At 43.5% G+C, this 25,536-nt stretch overlaps 1 protein-coding gene across 10 annotated transcripts, besides 5 other annotated features; it reads left to right on the forward strand.

Moving 5' to 3' along the window:
• Positions 1,153-1,282: an enhancer, noted in NCBI's record as "active region_6330". NCBI's record gives its function as "activates an Ori minimal core promoter by ATAC-STARR-seq in GM12878 lymphoblastoid cells {active_cell/tissue: GM12878}" and the evidence as "EXISTENCE:reporter gene assay evidence [ECO:0000049][PMID:35858748]".
• Positions 1,153-1,902: a biological region, named in NCBI's record as "H3K27ac hESC enhancer GRCh37_chr12:50134965-50135656".
• Positions 1,211-1,902: an enhancer, noted in NCBI's record as "H3K27ac hESC enhancer chr12:50134965-50135656 (GRCh37/hg19 assembly coordinates)". NCBI's record gives its function as "activates a minimal SCP1, AML or CMV promoter by ChIP-STARR-seq in naive H9 embryonic stem cells {active_cell/tissue: H9 hESC(naive)}" and the evidence as "EXISTENCE:reporter gene assay evidence [ECO:0000049][PMID:30033119]".
• Positions 1,523-1,842: an enhancer, noted in NCBI's record as "active region_6331". NCBI's record gives its function as "activates an Ori minimal core promoter by ATAC-STARR-seq in GM12878 lymphoblastoid cells {active_cell/tissue: GM12878}" and the evidence as "EXISTENCE:reporter gene assay evidence [ECO:0000049][PMID:35858748]".
• Positions 1,586-24,963, forward strand: TMBIM6 (transmembrane BAX inhibitor motif containing 6). Of its 10 annotated transcripts, none has more exons than XM_047429491.1 (14): positions 1,586-1,640; positions 1,986-2,144; positions 2,467-2,636; positions 3,446-3,594; positions 4,442-4,571; positions 12,493-12,578; positions 13,002-13,110; positions 15,664-15,784; positions 18,256-18,304; positions 18,412-18,509; positions 18,712-18,791; positions 19,250-19,350; positions 21,733-21,808; positions 22,902-24,963. In XM_047429491.1, exons 6-14 carry the CDS (start codon positions 12,523-12,525, stop codon positions 22,923-22,925), a joined length of 714 nt encoding a protein of 237 aa, XP_047285447.1. In that variant the 5' UTR covers positions 1,586-1,640; positions 1,986-2,144; positions 2,467-2,636; positions 3,446-3,594; positions 4,442-4,571; positions 12,493-12,522; the 3' UTR covers positions 22,926-24,963. The 10 variants fall into 10 exon arrangements, with proteins under 10 accessions (XP_047285447.1, XP_047285448.1, NP_001401392.1 ...); XM_047429492.1 differs by having other exon boundaries at positions 4,503-4,571; NM_001414463.1 differs by lacking the exons at positions 3,446-3,594; positions 4,442-4,571.
• Positions 13,880-13,969: an enhancer, noted in NCBI's record as "active region_6332". NCBI's record gives its function as "activates an Ori minimal core promoter by ATAC-STARR-seq in GM12878 lymphoblastoid cells {active_cell/tissue: GM12878}" and the evidence as "EXISTENCE:reporter gene assay evidence [ECO:0000049][PMID:35858748]".
• Positions 24,964-25,536: the final 573 nt, after the last annotated feature.

A 25,536-nucleotide genomic window follows, 5' to 3' on the forward strand; every position in this document is an offset into this window, starting at 1 on the left:
TAAAAGGTTTCATCACTACTCTAGTTCACCAGAATGCTTCAGCACAAGTGTACTACATAAATCACTATCGATCTGTCATGCAGGAAGACATAGGTAGTGAAGATGAAGGTGAGAACTCCCACTAATAAAATGAGTGAGAGTCTCAAAGTGGGGGAATAAGGGAGGAGACCACCCCTCATATTGTCTTATGCCCAATTTCTGCCTCCAAAGAAAGAAGTAGTAAAAACTAAAAGGCAGAAATGAAATCCACAAGCAGACAGCCAGGCACCACACCCTGGGCCTCGTAGTTAAAGATCGACCCCTGACCTAATCGGTTATGTTATCTATAGATTACAGACATTGTATAGAAAAGCACTGTGAAAATCCCTGTCCTGTTCTGATCTAATTACCGGTGCATGCTTGCTCAATCGATCACTACCCTCTCAAGCGGATCCCTTTAGAGTTGTGAGGCCTTAAAAGGGACAGGAATTGCTCACTCAGGGAGCTCAGCTCTTGAGACAGGAGTCTTGGCCGATGCTCCTGGCGGAATAAACCGCTTCCTGCTTTAACTCGGTGTCTGAGGGGTTTTGTCTGCGGCTTGTCCTGCTACACTACAGCAAAAATTAGGTTGTATTATAGAAAATTAACTTTTTTGGTTTTTTTGAGACGGGGTCTCGCTCTGTCTCCCAGGCTGGAGTGCAGTGGCACCATCTCGGCTCACTGCAACCTTCACCTCCAGGGTCAAGCAATTCTCCTGCCTCAGCCTCCCGAGTAGTTGGGATTACAGGCACACGCCACCACGCCCAGCTAATTTTTTAAATTTTTAATAGAGATGGGGTTTTACCATGTTAGCCAGGCTGGTCTCAAACTCCTGGCCTCAAGTGATCTGCCCACCTCAGCCTCCCAAAGTGCTGGGATTACAGACGTAAGCCACCACGCCCAGCCGAAAATTAACTTCTATTAATTGCATACCTGGGTTTGCCTACTGAGAATCATACCCTGGATATTTGTATTCTTTACTGAAAAGAACTGTTCTATCTTTCCAGAAAGTGGTTTCCTAAATTCTGGTTTTCCTCCTGGAATCCTGCTATTTCCTTCTCGCATACTCTAGAGAAATCGAAGTGTTTTCAAAGGTGCTCTGAAGCTTACGCTCCACTAGTTTCACAGTAAATCGCCCCTTGCGAGGGCGCTTTTTTTTTTTTTTTAATGTGTTCTCTGAATCGCTTTCCCCCTTTAACACTGCATGACAAGACTAAAGCCAGAATCCCAAGACTGCAGCGCTACCCCTTCACAAGCCGTCGGGCTGTCCCGGGCGGGGCCGGCCCATTTTCACTTTCTCCACTAGAGGCAGCAGCGCACCGTGACCCTGGCTTACTACGGTAAGAAAGCGGAGACCTTTTGCTTCGAGGCGGTTGGTGGCCAGTAGTCTTGATCGACAAGCTCAGGCCTCTGAACTAAGCAGCCGCTGTTTATGCACGTACAGCCAATGGAAAGGCAGGAGTGCGGCCAACGGCCAATGAGGACTGGTCTTAAGCGGACCACAGGGCGGGGTTTCCCTCGAGAGGCGAACGCCGGGTAAAAGATCGGGAGCGGAAGTGGGCGAGTCAGAGCACATCCGGTGTTAGAAGCGCTGGTAGGCCTTGGAGAGGCGGGTTAGGAAGGTACGTCTGAACCTAGTACTGGGCGAACTGGGAGTGAGAAATGGAAAGGGAGTTAGCAGTTACTGTCTGAGCAAGAGTGGCAGTAGCTTCCTTCTGCGGACAGATGGCACCCTGAAGGAACGAGGCCCTGCTCGGAGACCAGACTCGGGAAAACAGGGTGTGGAGGGAAGCTAGGGAACTAGTGCTGCGCGTGCGCAACAGTGCTGAAGCGGGGGTGGGGCGGAGGCGAGTCTGCGGGGGTTTTGGGGGGTGTCGAGGCCTCTATTCTGCCCCAGAGCGCTGGCGAAGGCCCCTTCTCAGCCCGCCTTTTCCTTTCTCCCGCTCCTTCTCCTCTACTAAGTGTAGACGCAGGGCCCCTTGGCCTAGCTTCGATCGTTCGAATTCAGAGCACGTCCTTCCGAGGTGAAGGAACGCGAAACTCCACCCATCCGATTGCTGTTCGGCTGCGGGCGGGTCCTTTGGTCGGGCTGACCCTGGGTGAGCGGCCCGGAGCCAAGACTCGAGGTAGGGCCTGGCGGGCGGGTGATGTCACACTCCTCTGTGACACGCGAGGCTCCTCAGTTACTTAGCCAACGGCAGAGGCGGGAAGTGAGAGGAGTCTGGGGCTGGGGCTGCCTTCCAGGCCCACGGGGCGGCCCCGCTCTTTTCGGATTGGTTACCTTTGGGCAGGTGAGGTGGCTTTGCTTTGCTTGGTCTTGAGGTTTTGTGGGCGTCTTTCTAAGTCTGCTCAGCAAGGGCGTCGTTGGGCAGTTTTTATCTTGGGCCTACTTGCTGGACCTGTGGTAACAAGTAGGCTTTGGTATCTTTGTATATTTACTGAGTGTAGAATTACTACCCGGTGCCAGCCCGGGCTGCTTGGGGTCATCAGCCTTTCATTGACCACCCCCACAACAAAAATCACTATGAACTTGAGACTGTGTTCTAGCAACTTGTGAATGTGTAACCCAGTAGAAGGGCTGACTGTGCTTGAAACAGACAAGGATTTTAAGGTCAAAGGTAAATAAATGGCAAATGGACTTTTCTAGTTACTTATTGATATTTATTTACAGTTTATCTTTTGTATGTGTGGTTTAAGAATTGAATTCTGGAAAGATACCGGAATTGCATAAACACATTTCTTATGACCTGCGTATACACACTTTTTTCTGTAATTATTGTATTTACACTCTTTGGTGTTTTCTTATTCTTTGTGTCTAATATTTTTGTTCTGGCCTAAAGAATATGTTGACATTTAGATTCTCTGCCGCCACTTTCCTCCAGTAGGGACAGAATAGTTGAACCCTTGAGAAATACAATCTGTACTTTTGATCCATAGTTTGCTTCTTCCGTTATTTATCTGGTTGTGGAAACATGGTTTAGTACCTTCCTCCTCTTTTTTTTTTTTTTTTTTTTTGAGGCAGAGTCTCACTGTCGCCCAGGCTAGAGTGCAGTGGCGCAGTCATGGCTCACTTGAACCTTGACCTCTCCTGGCTTAGGTGATCCACCCCAGCCTCCTGAGTAGCTAGGACCACAGGTGGACGTCACCAGCTCCAGCTAATTTTTGTATTTTTTGTGGAGATGGGGTATCACCATGTTGCCCAGGCTTACCAACTCCAGAACTCAAGCGATTTATTTATTTATTATTATTATTATGTTTTTTTTTTGAGACAGTCTCACTCCCTTACCCAAGCTGGAGTGCAGTGGTGCAATCTCGGCTCACTGCAACCTCCGCCTCCCTGGTGCATTCAATTCTCATGCCTCAGCCTCCTAAGCAGCTGAGATGACAGGCGCGCACCACCATGCCCAGCTAATTTTTGTATTTTTAGTAGAGACGGGCTTTTGCCAAGTTGTCCAGCCTGGTCTCGAACTCCACACCTCAAGCGATTCGCCCGCCTTGACCTCCCAAATTGCTAGGATTACAGGTGTAATCCTTTCCTAAAGAAAAAGAGTCATCTCTCCTGAAGAATAAGAAAAGGTAAAATTAATCTAGATACTTAGCATTTTCAAGTTATTTTCCCTGATTATAGATATAGTTCGCGCTCTTTATACAAATGCTGAAAATGCAGAAAAATGTCATAGGAATCAATGTATGTTTTGGGAGGGTTTTTTTGTTTTAAAGATTTGTTTTCACCTATGGCTGAAACTTTTGAAAGCTTATATAAATGAAAGCTTATTTTTCTACTGTAGGATGGAATAGTAAAAAGAGCACTAGACTATAGTGGTCAGAAGACCCCAAATCTGGTTCTGGCTCTGCTATTTAACTTTCTAATGTTGGTCAAATCAATACTAATGTTTGTTTTAGTACTTTACGTTGATTTCACACAGATTTTCTTATTGGCATTCAGTAGAGCAGGTATTGATCATCATCGTTATCTTACAGATGAGGAAGCTGAAATAACCTTAGGTAAAATGATTTTTCCTAGGTTATATAGTAGAAAGTGGCAGCACTTGTGACACCAAATCCTGTCCTCTTGCCACTATTACATTGCCTTTTTGAACTTAAAAAAGATGTATAAAATGGGCCTAATCTTTCCCTTTCCTTGTGGGTTGATGTGTGAGGATTGAAGGTGATACATATATAAAAGCACCTTAAAAGTTATAAATTTTATATAAATATAGTCAGGAGTATTAGTATAGAAGGTACTACTGCTGGCCTGACGAGTTTCATTTTATTTCGTAAACTGCCCAAGGGTATTAATTTTCTCTAGAGAAACCATTGAATATTCTGATGCTCTAACTTCTGATTTTTTTTCCTTTACTACTTTGACCTGGTTGTAGAATCTGGTAGAAATGTCTTCTACCACTCTGTTTTGTTCCCCCAGAGTTTCTAACCAAACTGCATGCAGCCCTTCGTAGTTTTTATACACATTTTGTTTTCCAAAGATGGTGTTCGAGACCAAGGAGAGAAAGGCTGTCTCCTTGACTTAAAGGTTACCTAAGTGACCCCTTGAGGTAGGTTCCACTCTGAGCCAGCTGGGGAATGTTGATTTGAGGTTACAGCACTCTTGATCTGATAATAGGGTCTAAATTTGCTCTAGAGACTTTGTAGTGCTTAAATCTTGGGGATAGCTGAGCTGAACCAGATGCAAGCTCTGCCCTCAGGGTGAGAAGTTTCTGCACAATTAACTGGAATCCAAAACACGTGAAAAAGGAGCTTCACCAGTGAGGGTGAAGTGGGTATGCTGTTTGTCTTAATTTATGTGTGCTCCCCATTTGGGCTAAATATGGTGTTATTAGGGAGGGATTACTGGTTTATACTGGAAGAAGATTATGTATTTAGGATTTTGGGGCCTTCTTAGGATTCAGTATCTGTCAAACGTTATAGAGAGGGAGATGAAGTAGTGTCAACGTTTGGTACAAAAAATAATTTACTGAAGGCAGTAGGCATTTCATCTCCAGTTACTGGTTTGGTTTTGAGGCAGCCCCCTGGAGGAGATGGATTCAGTATTAGCTAATCCAGGGATTTGGGTCCAAGTTAAGGGAGAGGCGGGGACATCTAGGGTGTCCACCTGGGAAGATCAAAGCTTGGTCCTAGTTGAATGAAACAATTCCTTGGATGGTTCCGAAACTGAACTGACCTACCTCCTGGGAGTGGCAGGGAAAGCATCAAGCTTTTGCGCATTTACTTCATCAAATCCTTTACCATATCAGATTATCACTTAGTGGCTATTAGGCTGTCTCAAAATGTCCATGGCCCTGTGGGACAAGAGAGATAGTATAAATGTGCTAGAAGAAAGGTATGCCATTTAAACAAAAGTACAGACGGGCCCCAATTTATGATGATTGGACTTAATGATTTTTTACTTTATAATGATGCAAAAGTGCTACCTGTTTGCTAGAAACTGTACTTCAGGCCAGGCATGGTGGCTCATGCCTGTAATCCCAGCACTTTGGGAGGCCGAGGTGGGCAGATCACTTGAGGTCAGGAGTTTGAGACCAGCCTGGCCAACATGGCAAAACCCTGTATCTACTTAAAATACAAAAATTAGCTGGGCATGGTGGCACACACCTGTAATCCCAGCTACTTGGGAGGCTGAGGCATGATAATCACTTGAACCCAGGAGGCAGAGGTTGCAGTGAGCTGAGATCGTGCCACTGCACTCCAGCCTGGGCAACAGAGCGAGACTCTGTCTCAAAAAAAAAAACCCAGCACATTTAGAATTTCCATCTTTTCCCAGACTAGGGATATCTGGTATGATATTTTCACATGAGATATTTAACACTTTATTATAAAGTAGGCTTTGCGTTAGATAGTTTTGCCCAACTTCAGACTAATGTAAGCGTTCTGGGCACATTTAAGGTAAGGTAGGCTAGGCTTAAGCTATAATGTTTGGTAGGTTATATGTAGTAAGTGCATAAATTACGATACTTTCAGTTTACAATGGGATTATTGGGATGTAACTTCATTGTAAATCGAGCATCTATACTTTTACCAGTAATGAGATTTTTCAAGTGCCTTTATGTTTCAGTTTATAATTTTCTTTTCTCTCTTTTTTTTTTTTTCTTTTTTGAGACAGAGTCTCACTCTGTCGCCCAGGCTGGAGTGCAGTGGTGCAATCTCGGCTCACTGCAACCTCCGCCTCCTGGGTTCAAGCCATTCTCCTGCCTCAGCCTCCCAAGTAGCTGGGATTATAGGCGCCCACCACCACGCCTGGCTAATTTTTTGTATTTTTAGTAGAGATGGGGTTTCATTGTGTTGGCTGGGCTGGTCTCGAACTCCTGACCTCAAGTGATCCGCCTGCCTCAGCCTCCCAAAGTGCTGGGATTACAGGCTAAAACTAGACTTTTAAAAGAGAATAATCTACTGAAGATATTGTAGTAATGAGTACACCAGTAATAACAATGTTAGTACACCAGTAATAACAATGGTTACCATGTATTGAACTCATTCTATGTACAAAGAGCTATTTTAAGAACTTTATTTGTATTATCTCACCTAATCTGCAACCTTAGGAAATAAGGATTGTTATGTACTAGTATTTTACACATGGTAGGTGAAACTGAAGTACAGTGAGGTTAAGTGCCAGCAGCTTGCTGCATGTCCCACTGCTAAGGAAATAACTAGGATTCAGAAGTAGCAGGCAGTCTTAACCACTATGCAGGGGACATGGTTATACAGTGTATGAACATTACTCAGTAGTAAAAACTAATGAATGGAAAGCTTTCTTGGCCAAAAACACAGAAGAAGAAGAAGAAGAAGAAAAAAAACTACTGACAAATTACTAACAGTTCTTCCCCCTCCTTTTTTTGTTTTTGTTTTTTTGAGACAGAGTCTGGCTCTGTCACCCAGGCTGGAGTGCAGTAGCGCAATCTCGGCTCACTGCAAACTCTGCCTCCTGGGTTCAAACGATTTTCCTTCCCTAGCCTCCTGAGTAGCTGGGATTACAGGCGCCCACCACCACATCTGGCTGATTTTTGTATTTTTTTACTAGAGACTGGGTGTCACCATGTTGGCCAGGTTGGTCTCGATCTCGTGACCTCAGGTGATCCACCCACTTAGGCATCCCAAAGTGCTGGGATTACAGGCATGAGCCACCGTGCCCAGCCCTTTCCCCTCTTTTAAACTATATGGGATTTTTCTTCTAAGTATCAATTTGGTCCCTTCTAGATATGTGGGAACAAGGTTCAGGATGGTTGAATTTATACAACAGGAAGAAAGAACCATGTAATTGACAAACTAATTTTTTTGTTTTAATTTTATAAAACGGTTTTGCTGTGTTGCCCAGGCTGGGGTGCAGTGACACATTTTTGCTCTGTTACCAGGCTGGAGTGAAGCAACATGATGATGGCTCACTGCAGCCTGAAATTCCTGGGCTCAAGCAATTCTCCTTCCTCAGCCTCCCAAGTAGTTGGGACAACAGGCGCACACCACCACACCCAGCTAATTTTTTAATTGTTTGCAGAGATGAGGTTTTGCTGTGTTGCCCAGGTTGGTCTGGAACTCCTGGGCTCAAGCGACCCTCCCACCTTGGCTTCCCAAAGTGCTGGGCTCACAGGTGTGAGACATTGTGCATGGCCTTTTTCCTTTTTTGTTTTTTGGAAGTGAACATAACCTTGAGACTTTATTGTCTTCATAATAAAACATAAACTGATATTTAATTAAATGTGCGAACAGTGTTTCTTTGACTTGCTGTTTTAATGTTGCTGTACACACTGAGGCAAAGTCTGTCTTGGCTCCAGCATTGCATAGAACGCATACTAAATCCACGATAGTTTTGTTTTGCATAGCTTTTGGCTACTTCAGCATGTTTCATGTTCACTGTAGCTCCTAGGTGTGTGGGAATAGGACTGAAGAGAATGGTTGTGTTTTTTTTAATTTTTAAATTTTTTTTACACGTAGTCTCGCACTGTCACCCATGGTGGAGGGCAATGGCGTGATCTCAGTTCACTGCAACCTCCGCTTCCCTGGCTCAAGCGATTCTCCTGCCTCAGCCTCCTGAGTAGCTGGGACTATAGGTGCCCGCCATCACGCCCAGCTAATTTTTGTATTTTTAGTAGAGACAGGGTTTCACCATGTTGGCCAGGCTGGTCTCCAACTCCTGACCTCATGATCTGCTTGCCTTTGCCTCCCAAAGTGCTGGGATTACAGGCGTGAGCCACCGCACCCAGCCTGTTTTTTTTTTGTTTTGTTTTGTTTTGTTTTTAATTTAAGGCTGGACCCTTGATAATAGTCTTTCATTTTAGGACAAGGGTAAGGGAGATACCTAGAACAAAACAAGGCATTTAACATGACCTAGATGTCCACTGCTAAGAATGCCTGTCTCCTCCTACCAGCCCCTGCTGTCCCTGTCTTCCCAAGCAAAAGCAGACCACAGGAATATCTAACTCAAACAATTGTGTTTACTTGAGTTTTTTCTTGGGAGAGCTATGTATTAAGCTCTTAGCTTTTTGTTTTTGCATGGCTCTGGCAGAGGAGGCTGGTCAGGGATACCACAGAATGATGACACTTCAGCAAAACTTTAGCAGTATGTGCATGACATGTTGACAGCTTCTGACAGGTTTTCCTCTCCTGGGATGAAGGCATAACAGGAGGCTCTGAATGAAATTAGAGGAATTTGGTTATGATTAACACCTGAACATTTACTTTTCAGTTACAAACGCAGTATAGGCAGATTTTCCACAACTCCAGGAGGCACTATCCACATTGTATTCTATGTAAATAACCCCTCCTCTTTATTTTAGAATTGAATTAGTAAGTAATAGGCTTAGAGGTGTGAAAGGACTGCTGTATTGAATTTTTTAGCAGCTTGTAATGTACTTTTTTTCTTTATTGTGGTAAACTATAACATTTTAATGTGTTTTTTTAAAACAAAGATTTTCATTTAACTGTGGGCTCCTCTGGAATGTTAGCGAGTTACTTGGTTAATGGTACTGAATATAATACTTCAAGCTCTTAAGAGCTGATTGCTCCTAGAATGGAAAATACTTGATATGAGAGCTGCTATTTTTGAGTTAAGTGCAACTTAATCTTGTTTGGCTGAGTTTGCATATCGGCCATTGAAATGTAGGTATCTTTTCTGAGCTTCGCTAGTTGAAGCTAAGATTGAAACTTGGTAAGTTTATTTTATCTGGCAAAACTTGTCAGAACAGTTTGATCTCATTACTTATCTGTATATTCTTGTCTATTTGGAACAGCTCTAGAGCAAACTATCATATTTCTTTGATTCTAAGACCTATGTATTCCCTCTCACATTTTAACATTTCTGAAATTGTCATCTGTACATTGTGTCATATACATTAAATGTATACAGATGCTCCTCAAGACGGGGCTGCATCTGGAAAACCCCATCATAAGTTGAAAATACCGTAAGTTGAAAATGTAAGTCCTTTTCTTTTTGTAAGTCATTTTTGTTTTTTTTTGAAACGGAGTCTCGCTGTGTTGCCCAAGCTGGAGTACAGTGGTGTGATCTCGGCTTACTGCAACCTCCACCTCCTGGATTCAAGTGATTCTCCTGCCTCAGCCTCCCAAGTAGCTGGGACTACAGGGGCGTGCCTCTATGCCCAGATAATTTTTGTATTTTTTGTAGAGACAGGGTTTCGCCGTGTTGGCCAGACTGGTCTCGAACTCCTGACGTCAAAGTGATCCACCTGCCTCGGCCTCCCAAAGTACTGGGATTACAGGCGTGAGCCACTGTGCCCAACCTGTAAGTCATTTTTGAGTCAACGATATTTTTAATTTACAATGGGTGTATCCAGATGTAAGCCATCGCAAATCAAGGAGTGTACCGAATGAGTATCAATTTCTCCCAGTGATAGGTCAACCCTGGTAAGTCAGGGACCATCTGCTTTACCAGGTTTCTTTTTTTTCTCCATAAAGCTAATAAAATTGCTGTGCCCTTTTGCGTCTATAATATTTGGTAGTTACATGTTTTGTTTTAAATTTTGAAATACTGATATTGAAAAACAGAAGTTTTAGTTATTTTTTAATGATTTCAAACCACAAGCTTCTATTAAATCAAAGTGAAATTGCCGTTTGACATCTCATCCCCCTGCCCCAACCCACACAGCCTTTGATGGTTTTGGTTTTTCCATCAACAGTTGTTAAGAGAGAACCAGAAAGAGGCAGTCAGTACCCCCTGGGAAACGTCAGAGAAGTATCTGAGAAAGGGGAGTTTCTGCCATTCTCCCCTCGAACAGATTCCGCCAAGCAGGGTCTGGTTACATGAGCATTGCCTCTTTCTTAGAATCCCCTGGGCGTTTGAGGATCCACCCCGCTCCATCCCTTACCTTTCTTTAATTCTTGTAATTGGAAGCAAGAGGTTCTTTAGCATTGCTGTTGTGAATACTGAGAAACTTGGCTCTGAAAGTTGCTTCAGTATTATTGTAAGTGCTGTCTAGGGATGTCATTAGGGGTGTTAATGGGAAACCTTAAACAAAGACACTTTCCAGGTGCTGAATTCTGCCATGCTGTAAGTGTGCTCTCTAGAGGACATAGTCATATTCATCTTGGTTATGGAAGGCTGTGGTTGGCCTTGTAACAACCTGCAATAATTGCACCATCTAGATCAAGAGGGCCCAGATCCGTGTGACTCAGAGGAGAGAGCAACAACCTTAGTAGGTTCTGCAGCTTCTCACTGTATCTGTCCTTAAGAACAGAATTAACAAAAGTTCTGAGGTGAGTAGTGATGTTAATGAGAGAAGGAAAGAAGAAACCAGAGAAAGCAAGCCAGCCATTGTGATTGTTTCATTTGTGGGAGAGAGCCTCAGGAAGCAGATGATGTTTATATCTTTCCACTGGCCCAGGATTCCTTAGGAAATTTGTTTGGGGACTGTAACTTTTATTATTACCTAGATGAATTGTTCTGAGTGTTGGGCTGGGTGCTGATTAGAGTGCTTCATTCAGTAGGTGGCGTTTCACACAACTTTATGTTTGAATCCCTTCCTCCCTGCCCCTCCTTTTCTGGTAGATTTAAAATGGATGGGCATTATGGCCCTGATAGGAGTTTGGAGGATTTATATTTAGAAGAGATGAAAGTTCTTGACTGGATCTTTAGTACTGTAGATTGAACACGTTTACTTAGGATTGCATGTGAAATAGGGGAGGGAGCAAAACTTAAGAACTTGACTTTATGGTGTTGATATGATCTAACCTGGATATAGTTCAGTTTAAAAATGCCCTTTTTGACATTGGGACAGTTGGCAAAAATCTGAATAAGGTCTGCAGATTAGAAATAGTATTGCATTAGTATTAATATCCTGATTTTGATCATTGCTTTCAGGATATACACACTGAAGTGTTTAGGAGCACTGTGTCTGTATGGTTAGGGAAAAAATATTTTTACATCTGTCTATATATTGCTATATAGAAAGAAGATGAAGCAAATGTGAAATATTAGCATTTAGGAAATCTGGGTGAAGGTTGTACAGGAATTCTTTGTACTGTTCTAACCTTTCTGTAGGAAAGGTTCTGAAACTGTCAAAAAAATACCCCCCAAAAAATCCTCCTTTCTGCATAAATTCCTTTTTTATGGAGGTAGGAACCTCTCTTTTTTTAAAATTGTGAGTCCTTTTCAGTTCAGTTCTTAAATGTGTTAGGTTAAGAAAATTTGATACGCATATATTTAAAATGCAAGTCTTAATGCCAGACCCAGCTTTATAGTTTTTGTTTGTTTTGTTAAGACTAGTCAAAGTTTTGTTTTTTATCTTTGAGGTGCTGCTAGTGAGATAATTTTTTTTTTTTTTTTTTTTTTTGAGATGGACTCTTGCCCTGTTGCCCAGGCTGGAGTGCAGTGGCGTGTCTTGGCTCACTGCAGCCTCTGCCTCCCAGGTTCAAGCAATTCTTCTGTCTTAGGCTCCTGAGTAGCTGGGATTACAGGTGTGTGCCAACACACCCAGCTAATTTTTGTATTTTTAGTAGAGACAGGGTTTCACCATGTTGGCCAGGCTGGTCTCGAACTCCTGACCTCAGGTGATCCGCCCACCTCAGCCTCTCAGAAGTGCTGGGATTATAGGCCTCAGTGAGCCACTATGCCCAGCCAAGGGAATTCTTTAGCATCTTGAAACAATGACATAAAATTGCTTTATGTGCCAATGTCTAGGTTCCTTTAACTAGATTGTTAATTGAGAATTTCTTTTATAAACTTACTGCCTTTTAAAGTGGCAAATCACCTGAAAGAATAGAAATCAGATGATAGTAACAAAATAGTTTGAGGGAGAAGAAGATGCATTCAATTCCTCTGTCGTCTTTAAGATGGTTGACTATGATTGCAAATATATTGTAGGACACATAAAAATAAAAATGGTTGTGTTAGGGCTGTAGAATTTTAGGCAAGTTTTCATCTTTCTGAACTTACATGTTGCTTTTTTTTTTTTTTATAAGCTGTTCGTGTGATTCTGTATGACTTAATGACTCTAACCTTTCTTTATTCTGCAGAGTGGAGACTGCTGCACGGACTCTGGAACCATGAACATATTTGATCGAAAGATCAACTTTGATGCGCTTTTAAAATTTTCTCATATGTAAGTGTTTTGACCTTGACTGGTTTTGTACTGCATTTCTTTTCATATCTCTTTGTCCCTTTTCTGCATTTATAACTTTTGTGTGTATAAGCTAACAAATTAACTTGGCCAGAATCCAGAGGACCTGATGAAAATGTCCAAATTCTACACGTTGCTGTGTGGTTATTGGAAAGGCATTTATTCTAGTTTGGGTACTGATTATTCATAATTTTGGGCATTTGGTCTTCCTCAGCATTTAAGGTTCTGTTAACCTATTTTCAAAATATTATTTTTTATTGTAATATGCTTTCCTAAAAGTATTTCAAACTATTTGTAACAGAACTTTTACATATTCCCAGGAAGGGAAAGAGAGAAATGATTCTTCTTAGCTTAAATATGAGATTGATCTGGGACTGATTGCTCTTATTCACATTCTTTTCTTAGAACCCCGTCAACGCAGCAGCACCTGAAGAAGGTCTATGCAAGTTTTGCCCTTTGTATGTTTGTGGCGGCTGCAGGGGCCTATGTCCATATGGTCACTCATTTCATTCAGGTAAGAACGATTTTCTCTCCTGGTTGCTGTGGTACAAATTACATTAGGAAAAAACCAGCTCAGCAAGGTGGTCCAAGGGACCCTGTTCCTCTCTTTAATCTTTATCAGTAGTTTAGGATTTAAACTCAGACATTAAATCAGGACATGTAAAGCCATTTTAATTTTCTGGCAACTGTGCCCCCTCTAGATACCGAAAAACAGAATGCCTTAACCTTGGCACTGAATGGTGTGCTGCTGACGTACAAGACCCCCACCCACTGAGTAGGCGCATGGCATGCATGCTGGGATTCTTTGGCACAGAAGCTTTTTTATCTTTTCCTCCATTCTTCCTTTACAAAACTCTGATTGTGTGATTAACTATCAGGAGAGGCAGGATTGAGATCTTTTTAAGGAATTGACCTGTTTTATTTTCCGATAACTGTTGTCTGCATGGTTGGGTAAAAACCTTCAACAATTTGTTTTCCTGTATTGAGAGAGAATCTGGGTTTGGTCAGCAGGAGTAGAAGGTACAGTTTGAGGAATAACCAGAAAGTTTGAAGACTCCCTAACATAGTCTTGTGCCTTTGTAGAGTATTCCTTTTAGCATAAATGTAGAGGTGGGCCTCTGTTGGCATTTGCCACTGTTGAGAACTATCCTTATGTTCAGGCATCTCCTGGCAGGGATTGTGTGAAAAATTACTTTAGACACTCAAAGGATAGGGCTTTGATCGCTTGAGTTTTAGGCAAGGTTAGCCCTTAAATAATTTAGTAAAATACAGTCAATCCTTGTTATTCACAGACTCTATATTTGTGAATTCACCTACTCATTAAAATTTGTAACCCCAAAATCAATACTCATGGCACTTTTTTTTTTTTTTTTGAGACAGAGTCTCGCTCTGTTACTCATGGCACTTTTTGCAGACAGTCACAGAGTGGTGAAAAAGTTGAGTCACCCTGCTGTTGCAGTGTTTTCAGCTGAGGTTGAACAAGACAGTGCTCTGCCTTCTTGTTTCAGTTCTCGTATTGTAAACAAATGTTCTTTTCATGGTCATTTAGTGCCACTTCCTTTGTATTTTTGTGCTTTTAATTGGTGATTTTGCTGGGTTTTTTGAGTGGAGGTCTTGTGGTGTCGTCCTGACTGGTCTCAAACTCCTGGGCTCAATTGATCCTCGCACCTCAGCCTCCCAAGTAGCTGGGAATACAAGCACATGCCACCATGCTTGGCTTAATTTTGCTGTTCAGAATGCAAACAGCATAGTGCTGAAGTGCTGTCTAGTATTCCTGAGTGCAGAAAGACCGTAATGTGCCTTATGAAGAAAATGTGTATATTAGATAAGCTTCATTCCGGCATGAGTTGTACTGCTGTTGTAACTGTGAGTTCAATGTTAAGGAATCAAAAATAATGTCAAATGAGGTGTCCTTAAACAGAAACACATATAAAAGCAAGGTATCTATTGATCATTTGATGAAAATGTTGTGACCTTAGGCTTGCAGGAACCTACCTACCTTTTATTTCCCTCAGGAACAAGGGTTTACTAATTCATTGTCCACTGTGATTTTATAACATAAACACTGAATAATGAGAATCAACTTCTTCCTTTAAAGGAAGGAAGGAACTTCAGTGTCTACGTCCATCCTTAATGATTTCTCTTTTTTCTAATGCCTATAGTTTTTCCCACTTGGCGTTTTTAAAAAAAGAAACACTTTTTTCTTACTACAAAGCTAATATGTGTTCATTTTAGAAAATTCAGAAAACAGACTAGCAATGAGAAGGAAGTATTTTAGAAACTTCCATAATCCCATCATCCAGAAATAACTACTGTTAACATTTTAGTACTTTGCAGTCTTCTGTATATGTATGTGTCTTGGTGTTTTGGTGTTTGGGGGTTTTGTTTGTTGGTTTTTGTTTTTTTGAGACGGAGTTTCACTCTTGTTGCCCAGGCTGAAGTGCAATGGCGTGATCTTGGCTTACTGCAACCTCTGCCTCCCTGGGTTCAAGCAATTCTCTTGCCTCAGCCTCCTGAGTAGCTGGGATTACAGGCGTGTGCCACCATGCCTGGCTAATTTTGTATTTTTAGTAGAGACGGGGTTTCTCCATGTTGGTCAGGCTGGTCTCGAACTCCTGATCTCAGGTGATTTGCCCACCTCGGCCTCCCAAAGTGCTGGGATTACAGGCGTGAGCCACCATGTTTTTTTTAAAGTGACCAAAGGGGGATCATTTCTATTTGTTCTACAGATGGAATGTACTTTAAGCACTTGTCACGTTTCATTCATCCTTTCTATTTTTTGGGCAAGACTCACTCATAGTTTGACTTGGGTAGTTGTACTGTAGTTGAAGGACTACGCAAGCCAGAAGAGCCTCCAGCATCCACCATGGTCCTAACTCTGTGCTTCAAGGCTTCTGGGTTATCTCCTCAGCCCCATCCCTGAGAAAACACTACTTTTTCTCCTGCCTCCAGGTTATAAGCAAATGTTAGGAAGTTCAGACGAGTGTTTGAACCCAATAAAGGTCTCTTGCAAAATAAATTTGAAACTTTCAAGTGTTTAATGATTGATTGATTCTGACTCTAACAGGCTGGCCTGCTGTCTGCCTTGGGCTCCCTGATATTGATGATTTGGCTGATGGCAACACCTCATAGCCATGAAACTGAACAGAAAAGACTGGGACTTCTTGCTGGATTTGCATTCCTTACAGGTACGTTAAGGGATTTGTCTAATTTTGAGGGGTGAGCTATATTTTCAGTATCTCTTAATTAGTTCCCCCCCCTTTTTTTTTCTTTTTTTTTTTTTTGAGACAGAGTCTCGCTCTGTTGCCCAGGCCAGAGTGCAGTGGCTTGATCTTGGCTCACTGCAAGCTCCGCCTCCCAGGTTCACACCATTCTTCTGCTTTAGCCTCCCGTGTAGGTGGGACCACAGGCACCTGCCACCACACCCGGCTAATATTTTGCATTTTTAGTAGAGACGGGGTTTCATCGTGTTAGCCAGGATGGTCTTGATCTCCTGACCTCATGATCCGCCCGTCTCGGCCTCCTAAAATGCTAGGATTACAGGCATGAGCCACCGTGCCTGGCCCTTTTTTTCCTTTTTTTTTGAGACAGTGTCTCCGTCTGTCACCCAGGCTAGAGAGTGCAGTGGCGTGATCTTGGCTCACTGCAAACTCTGCCTTCCGGGTTCAAGCGATTCTCCTGCCTCAGCCTCCCAAATAGCTGGGATTACAGGCATGTGCCACCATGCCCGGCTAATTTTTGTATTTTTAGTAGAGATGGGGTTTTACCATGTTGGCCAGGATGGTGTTGATCTCTTGACCTAGTGATCCACCCACCTTAGCCTCCCAAAGTGTTAGGATGACAGGCGTGAGCCATAGTACCCTGCCTCCTGGCTTTTTTTTTTTTTTTTTTTTTTAAGATGGAGTCTCACCCTGTGGCCAGGCTGGAGTGCAGTGGCGAGATCTCAGCTCATTGCAATCTCTGCCTCCCAGGTTCAAGCGATTCCCCTTCCTCAGCCTCCCAAGTAGCTGGGACTACAGCGGCTAATTTTTTGTATTTTAGTAGAGACGGGGTTTCACCATGTTGGCCAGGATGGTCTTGATCTCCTGACCTCGTGATCTGCTCGCCTCAGCCTCCCAAAATGCTGGGATTACAGGCATGAGCCACCACACCCAGCGCTTTTTTTTGTTTTTTTGTTTTTTTTTTTGAGACTGAGTTTCACTCTTGTTGCCCAGGCTGGAGTGCAGTGGCACGATCTTGGCTCACTGCAGCCTCCACCTCCCAGGTTCAAGCGATTCTCCTGCCTCAGCCTCCCGAATAGCTGGGATTATAGGCATCAACCACCACGCCAGCTAATCTTTTGTATTTTTAGTAGAGATGGGCCACTATGTTGGCCAGGCTGGTCTCGAACTCCTGACCTCGTGATCCGCCCACCTCGGCCTCCCAAAGTGCTGGGATTACAGGCATGAGCCACTGCCCCTGGCCCTAATTTTGTATTTTAGTAGAGACGGGGTTTCACCATGTTGGTCAGACTGGTCTCGAACTCCTGACCTCAGGTAATCTACCTGCCTCAGCCTCCCAAAGTGCTGGGATTACAGACGTGAGCCACTGTGCCTGGCCTTCCTGGCCTGCTTTCTAATCTCATATAGGTTCATTTTGTTTCCCCATCCATTAGGGGAAACTCTGTGAGTAGCCACTGTGACTCTACTTTTGTGTCCAAAAATAGCCATTGTGTACTTGAATGAATGAGGTTCAAGAGCTTAGGTAGCATAACCTATTAATAGTAGGCATAGAACTTTTAATAAACTAGACTTGAGAATCCGACATAGTTGCACCCATACTGGCAATTATCATAGGAGCTTCTGTTCTGAGTCTTACAGACAGTGCATTAAAGCTATACATTGAGATCTATTGTGCAGGACACTTTGCTGATTCTCAAAAAAAGAAAGGCACAGCTCTTCTAGAATTGTCATAAAGGAAACAAGACTCAAGCTATGTAATAAAAATGTTTGCAAAACATTTGAATTAGAACAGCTTGTTCTGAGTGACAGTCTAATATACGTAGGAGAAATTTTAGAAAGGAAGAGATTTAGGGATTAAAATTTTTGCATCAGGGCAAGCTAGTTTTTGAAGGCATTAAGGGGTGGAATTATCAGAAGGAAAGAGGAAAGTAATTAGAACGAAAGAAATGTTAGAGCTGGAACAGGTTGCCCTCCTGTTGGCAGGTGTCCACCTGCAGAACCAGTCTCACCTTTCTTTGCTACAAAGGGGAGTCAGTCCTACATGACTATAAGGTTGCTGGCCACGAGGCACTGTTTTGCTCTTTATCCTTTTTTTCTAATTCCTGATCTGGCCTATATTACCATCTTACATCACTCTAGCTCTGAAATGTTTGGCATGCCTACTTTATTTTCTTGTAATCTCTGTACCCTCCCTGAGGTCATCCATGATTTTCAGCTAAGAGGACAATTTTGCAGCTATTTCTATAAAAAAAAAAAAAACAACGCAGTCAGGTATACATTTTATTGAAAACAATTACAGCGGAGGGGAGAGAGATTTAATTCTTTAGTCCACGTTTGTTAAGAGCATGAGTATGCCTATATTTCGGGATCAGCTTTTGGATGAGGATCCTATTCAAGAATTGATCGTAATACTGTGTTCTGGGTTTTCTGTTTTCTAGGAGTTGGCCTGGGCCCTGCCCTGGAGTTTTGTATTGCTGTCAACCCCAGGTAACTCTTTTGGTAGTGTCTTATGTGCTTTTATCTTTATGAATATACCTTCTAAATGTAGACCGTATACCTGTAGCCCTTAATCTAATGGTCTTTTTTTCTAACAGCATCCTTCCCACTGCTTTCATGGGCACGGCAATGATCTTTACCTGCTTCACCCTCAGTGCACTCTATGCCAGGCGCCGTAGCTACCTCTTTCTGGGAGGTAAGTGTGAACTGGGAAACAGGGAATGGGGGCTCCTTTTTAGCCAGAATTCTCACTAGTACTCCTTCCTTACCCCTAACTCCTTTGCGACTATTGAGTTGAGATTAACCTTCATTCTGGGGGAAGTTAAGGAATGGCTTTAATGGGATTGCTTTACTTTGCCTTGGCTTCTCTCAAGACAGCTTTTTGCTGTGTCTTATAGGTATCTTGATGTCAGCCCTGAGCTTGTTGCTTTTGTCTTCCCTGGGGAATGTTTTCTTTGGATCCATTTGGCTTTTCCAGGTAAGACTTAGCCTGGAACTTTCCAGCAGCCATTTGCCTCACACTTCTTTCTTTCCTTTTTTTTTTTTTTTTGCACTTCTTTCTGTACTACTTTGGGCAGTGCTCTCTAAGCCTTCCCATTATCCTTCATAGGATGGAGCCTTCTGCCACAAGTGAAAACAGGCTGCACAAGGTTGGGCATTGCTAAGAGAAAATGGTTTGCTCAGACACCATTTGTGTAAGGCCAGTCTGGCAGTGGCTGATTGTTAAAATGATTGAAACTCTTCCAGTGACCAGTGCAGTATTGTGCCTAGGGAAGTAAAGTGGTCTTCACCCTAGGCTGCAGTTCTCGTGAATGGTAATGTTCATAGGGTTCACATTTGATGTACTTTCAAGTGACTATGAGCCAGAAAGTATGGCTGGTTTTTTTTTCTCTGCAACTTCTGCTGTATAGTAACTTCATCTCTTACATTTGTTAGGCAAACCTGTATGTGGGACTGGTGGTCATGTGTGGCTTCGTCCTTTTTGATACTCAACTCATTATTGAAAAGGCCGAACATGGAGATCAAGATTATATCTGGTGAGTGTGGGAACTAGTCTTTAACAAGCATGAAGGTTGAGGCATACCGTTCAGCAGCTGAACTTAGGTTGGCATTGGCTGAACATAGGTGGCCAAGCTTTGGGAGTGTATGTGGTAGGAAACCCACGGTTTTGGAACTGTGTACCATAATCTTCCTCAATTCCTGAAAGATTTCAGATTTTTTAAAAATCTGGGCTAATAGGCCAGGTGTGGTGGCTCACACCTATAATCCTAGCACTTTGGGAGGCTGAGGCCACTGGATCGCTTGAGCTCAGAAGTTTGAGACCAGCCTGGGCAACATGGCGAAATCCCATCTCTACTAAAAATATAAAAAAATTAGCTGGGCATGGTGGCACATGTATATAATCCCAGCTACTCAGGAGGCTAAGGTATAAGAATCATTTGAACCTAGGAGGTGGAGGTTGAAGTGAGCCAAGATTGCACCACTGCACTCCAGCCTGGCAACAGAGCGAGACCCTGTCTCAAAAAAAAAAAAAAAAAAGTGTGGGGGCCGGGCACGGTGGCTCACGCCTGTAATCCCAGCACTTTGGGAGGTCGGGGCAGGCGGATCACGAGGTCAGGAGATCGAAACCATCCTGGCTAACACGGTGAAACCCTGTCTCTACTAAAAATACAAAAAATTAGTCGGGCGTGGTGGCGGGCACCTGTAGTCCCAGCTACTCAGGAGGCGGAGGCAGGAGAATGGTGTGAACCGGGGAGGCGGAGCTTGCAGTGAGCGGAGATTGCACCACTGCACTCCAGCCTGGACGACAGAGCGAGACTCCTTCTCAAAAAAAAAAAAAAAAAAAGTGTTGGGGGGTGGCTATATATTTACATATCCATAGTGGCTACCTCCAAGCAGAAGTGAGGGAAAGAGATCTTTCTCCTTTTCCTATTTATACTTCTGTATTTTTTAAACAATGAGTAGAAGATACACTCTTTTTTTAGAGACAGGGTCTCGCTCTGTTGCCTAGGCAGTAGTGTGGTGCCATGAACACAGCTCGCTGCAGCCTGAATTTACTGTGCTCAAGCAGTACTCCTGCCTCAGCCTCTTGAGTAGCTGGGACAACAGGCACGTGCGACCATGCCAGGCTAATTTATTTTTTGTAGAGATGGGGTCTTACCATATGCCCAGATTGGTCTCAAGCAGTCCTCTTGCCTTGGTTTCCCAAAGTGTTGGGATTACAGGCTTAAGCCACCATGCCCAGCCACTTTTTTTTTTTTTTTTTTTTTTTGAGACAGTTTTGCTTTGTCACCCAGGCTGGAGTGCGGTGGCAACATCTCAGCTCACTGCAACCTCCGCCTCCTGGGTTCAAGCGATTCTTGTGCCTCAGCCTCCCTAGTAGCTGGGATTACAGGCACTCTCCACCACGTCCAGCTAATTTCTGTAATTTTAGTAGAACGAGGTTTTGCCACGTTGCCCCGTGAGGACATGGTGTCGAACTCTTGGCCTCAAGCAATCTGCCTTCCTCAGCCTCCCAAAGTGGTGGGATTACAGACATGGGCCACCATGCCCAGCTCACTTTTTTTTTTTTGAGACGGAGTTTCGCTCTTGTTGCCCAGGCTGGAGTGCAACGGTGTGATCTTGGCTCACCGCAGCCTCCGTCTCCCGGCTTCAGGTGTTTCTCCTGCCTTAACATCCTGAGTAGCTGGGATTACAGGCATGCACCACCATGCCCGGCTAATTTTGTATTTTTAGTAGAGATGGGGTTTCTCCATGTTGGTCAGGCTGGTCTCAAACTCCTGACTCAGGTGATGCCCGCCTCAGCCTTCCAAAGTGCTGGGATTACAGGTGTGAGCCACTGTGCTCGGCACTTTTTTTTTAATGTAGTGATTCTCTCAGTCTCATGACTAATTAGTGGTAGTTAAGGGTTCAGACTTGGACCTCTGCAGAGTTCAGAGCGCTTGAGACAGGGCTTGCTCTGTCACCCAAGCTGCAGTAGGAGAGTGGCACTGTCATGGCTTACTGTAGACTCAAGCTCCCTGGGCTCAGGTGTTCCTCCCATCTCAGCCTCCTCAGTAGCTGGGATTACAGGCACATGCCACAATGCCCTGCTAATTTTTGTAGAGACGGGATTTTGCTATGTTACCCAGGTTGGTCTCGAACTCCTGGGCTCAAGCAGTCCACCTGCCTCAGCCTCCCAAAATGTTGGGATTACAGGCATGAGCCACTGTGCCTGGCCCAGTCTCTTTTCTCTATGCTGCATGACTTCGATGAGTCTAAAGGATCTCAGACACCAGAGTTTTACTTCCTTAGTTGGGGGTAAAGTGTGGGAGAAGCTGGCTCGTGGGGGTAGGGGTGGGGTTTATATTCTGCATCTTTGTGGGCTTGTGGATAAAAAAGTCTGAAGTACAGATCCTAATCTGGTTCTTGCCTTTCAGGCACTGCATTGATCTCTTCTTAGATTTCATTACTGTCTTCAGAAAACTCATGATGATCCTGGCCATGAATGAAAAGGTTAGTTAGCCTACAACCCAAAGATGAGACAATAATGGCTCCTGAGCTTGGCATGTGTGTATACTTCAGATTTGAAAACTTGCTCACACACTGTGTTAGGTCCAGGGTAACTGTAAGGCAGGCCACTGAGTAAGAGGTAAGCCAGAAGTCTTCAGTTGTTAGAAAAAAAGCAGCAAGTGAAAAAAAAATTTTTTTAACTAATTCCTGCGTTTAGTATGAAAGGGAAAAAAGCTTCAGTGGCAGTAAACACAACCTGCTACATGAATAATTTAAAGGCTATATAGTTGTGACTCAGAGAAAGGTATTGTGGAGGACGTTGTAAATTTCAGAAGTAGACTAATTTTATCCATTTGTTAATTTTTTTTTCCAAGGAAGCATTCTATATAGGGCTAATGAGTATCTAACGTAGTTGAGTCAAGCAGTGGGGGAAACAAATGAAATGAGCTTTTCTTTATAGACCTTATGGAGCTTAGAGATAGCATAGTGGTAGCGGGAGTAGTTGACCAGATAGGATTGCTGGCTCTGTCTGGGCTATGCCATGGTTGGACTGAGCACTAGGCAGATGTACAAGTTTCAGAACAAGCAACTGAATTTTCATTCCTTAATACATTGGGCTTCCATCCAAGATTGAATGAAGAATTCTGCTGGACCAAATTATTTCTGAATGTCAGTTTATGCCAGAGTCATGCTCACTTTGCAGGGTGGAGCACTTCTCGCGCCTAATGGTTGGTTGGTGGTCTTGGCCTCTAGTTTCACTCTTTGAGGATAGAGTGCCATCTGCAGCCTTCACTGTTGGGATCTGAGCTGTAGTGGCTGTGAATAGCCTAGAGTGGTCAGGCAGCCCACCTCGGCACTCCTGGGGTGGGGGTGGGGACAGCTGCTTAACCTTTATTCTTGGTCGGTCTGTCGGCAACTTTGGGAACCACCAGTAGGATGTGGTTAAGATTCAGTTCTTGCTGAGCTAAGGAAGCATTTCTCATTTCTTTTTAATTGTCTGGCTCACTTCTAGTCCCTAACTAAATGCTCACTCAAGAGTTTTAGCTTGAATGTCAAATGTCAAAAAATTAATTGGGTGATTTTTCTCCATTTCTAGGATAAGAAGAAAGAGAAGAAATGAAGTGACCATCCAGCCTTTCCCAATTAGACTTCCTCTCCTTCCACCCCTCATTTCCTTTTTGCACACATTACAGGTGGTGTGTTCTGTGATAATGAAAAGCATCAGAAAAGCTTTTGTACTTTGTGGTTTCCTCTATTTTGAATTTTTTGATCAAAAAACTGATTAGCAGAATATAGTTTGGAGTTTGGCTTCATCTTCCTGGGGTTCCCCTCACTCCCTTTTTTGTCAACCCCATCTGTAGCCTCTTCCTCTACTCAGGCAGTCGACCCGCCACGATGAGAAGTGGGACCAGCAGAGGGCGCCAACTTCAGGAGTCCGCTTTCCCACCAGGCTTCATTCACCCAGTGGACCTGAACTGTTTGGTAGAGCCACCCGGCCCTTCCTTCCTCATTGTTGTTTGGTATGCGCACAGTTCCTGTGGGACTGGGCCGTGAGTTTTCCATTGGAAAGAAGTTCAGTGGTCCCATTGTTAACTCAGCCTCAAATCTCAACTGTCAGGCCCTACAAAGAAAATGGAGAGCCTCTTCTGGTGGATGCTTTGCTCCCTCTGAGCTGCCCATGCTGGTCTGGCAAACACACCTTTCTGCTTTGCCTTCACAAAAGTAATGTGTTCCCTTTCCCACCCCTTGCCTGACCCTCAGGGAGTCAGCCTGCTTCCATCCATGGGTGGGAAGACTTCAGCACAAAGGAAAGACTAATTCTTGTCAGGCATTTTTGAAAAGGCTGATTATGTGTATCAAGGTACAGCATCGTAGGGTTCCCCTAAACTTGCCCTGTTTTTGTTTTTTTAGTTTGTTATCCCCTTACTGAGCGGCCTCTACTAGGTGGCTGTGATTAAATGTCCCAAGCAAGGATAGGGAAGGGGAATGGTTGAGCCTCTGGAGATCATTGTAACCAATCCTGCCAGACCTGTTTGGGGCAGTGGGGAGCAAACCTAGATAAGGACCTGTTTGGGGCAGCAGGGAGCAAAATCTCCTTTAACAACCAAGCAGTTCCTCATTCACATCAACAGAGCGAGGCTGTGATAACTTAGGAGGCAGCAATCCTAATAGTCCTTCAGTGCATTTTAGTCTGTCTCCAACTGGACACCAGTAGGTAGTGTCAAGCCAGAGATTCGGGGCAGTAGATAAATGTTCATTTTACTGATGCACTTTAGTTTTTGGTCTGTTACCTGTTTTCCAGAAATTTGTGGCCTTTTAGGCGGGAGTTAGGCGACCAAACCAGTGAGAGCCCCAATCCCTGCAGTTTTGTGGCTTCAAGTGTGGGTGGACAGTCCTAATGGGGATCTCCAGCTCCTTCCTGTGGGCTGCCACAGACAGCTACCCCCAGAAGGGTCAATGTTGGGAGTGGTTGTGGCTCTGAGCTGCTCTACAGAGCTTCAGTGTGAGAGGATCGAGCCATTGAAAGCTCATTACCAGTAGGACATAATTTTTGGCTCTCCCTATTCACAACCAGTGCACAGTTTGACACAGTGGCCTCAGGTTCACAGTGCACCATGTCACTGTGCTATCCTACGAAATCATTTGTTTCTAAGTTGTGTTTATTCCTGGAGTGACATGCCACCCCGAATGGCTCACTTTCACTGAGGATGCTGTCCTCTGATTTAGCTGCTGCCTCCAGCCTCTGGCTTGAGAACTTACTAAAGGCACTTCCTTCCTGTTAAACCCCTGTTAACTCTCCATAAATTTGGTGATTCTCTGCTAGGCCTAAGATTTTGAGTTAACATCTCTTGAAGCCAAACTCCACCTTCTGTGCTTTTTGCTTGGGATAATGGAGTTTTTCTTTAGAAACAGTGCCAAGAATGACAAGATATTAAAAAAAAAAAAGAAAGAAAAAAAAAAAAACACCTACTTTTAAAGAAAATACCTAACAGATTTTTAATATAGTTATCTCTACCACTTTCTTTTCTAGTTTCTTGATTTTCAGCTCAGGCTGCATTCTAACTCATACTGTGAAGACAAAGGTGTTTTTGATTCAGAAATATATGAAATCTGCATAGTCTTAATTTGTAAAAAATAAAGAAAATTCCTTAACCTTTCCTGGTGTTTGTGTTAAATTCAAGGGTACAGCTGGTCATGGAGCTTGTGATACTGCCAGGGTTTGCTACTGGGGGCTGGGAGTGGGACACGATTGAGTTCGTGTCATAAGTATGAACAGAGACAAAGACCTCCCACTCTGTAGCCCCAGCATGCCACAAATGTTGAGAATTTTCTCTGTCAAATATGTAAGCCAGTTTTTTTTCCAGTCCTCTCCACCCCCTGCCACCTTTGCTATATGTTGTTTGTGGTGATATGTGCAGTTGGTTCAGATGTGCAGCCAAGCTTTGGAGTTTGAGGATGCATAATGGAAAAAAGGCAAATGATACCCACTCATTCTGCAAGTATTTTTGTTCACCCACTGCTGCCCGGCTGTATTCTAAGTGCATTAGTTAATAAAGATGTAAAAGTTGGCCAGGCATGGTGGCTTATGCCTGTAATCCCAGCACTTTGGGAGGCCAAGGTGGGCAGATCTCGAGGTCAGGAGTTCAAGACCAGTCTGGCCAACATGGTGAAACCCCATCTCTACTAAATACACCAAAAAAAAAAAAAAAAAAAAAAAATTAGGCAAAGTG

This window comes from Homo sapiens, chromosome 12, assembly GCF_000001405.40.
Source record: "Homo sapiens chromosome 12, GRCh38.p14 Primary Assembly".
Lineage (NCBI taxonomy): Eukaryota > Metazoa > Chordata > Mammalia > Primates > Hominidae > Homo > Homo sapiens.

Bases quoted from the DNA above. Each gene is read 5' to 3' on its own strand.
- TMBIM6 (XM_005269126.5), top strand. From the start codon at position 2,166: ATGTCACACTCCTCTGTGACACGCGAGGCTCCTCAGTTACTTAGCCAA. The intron at 19,351-21,732 runs GTGAGTGTGGGA...CTTGCCTTTCAG, and splicing joins GGAGATCAAGATTATATCTG to GCACTGCATTGATCTCTTCT. The intron at 21,809-22,901 runs GTTAGTTAGCCT...CTCCATTTCTAG, and splicing joins TCCTGGCCATGAATGAAAAG to GATAAGAAGAAAGAGAAGAA.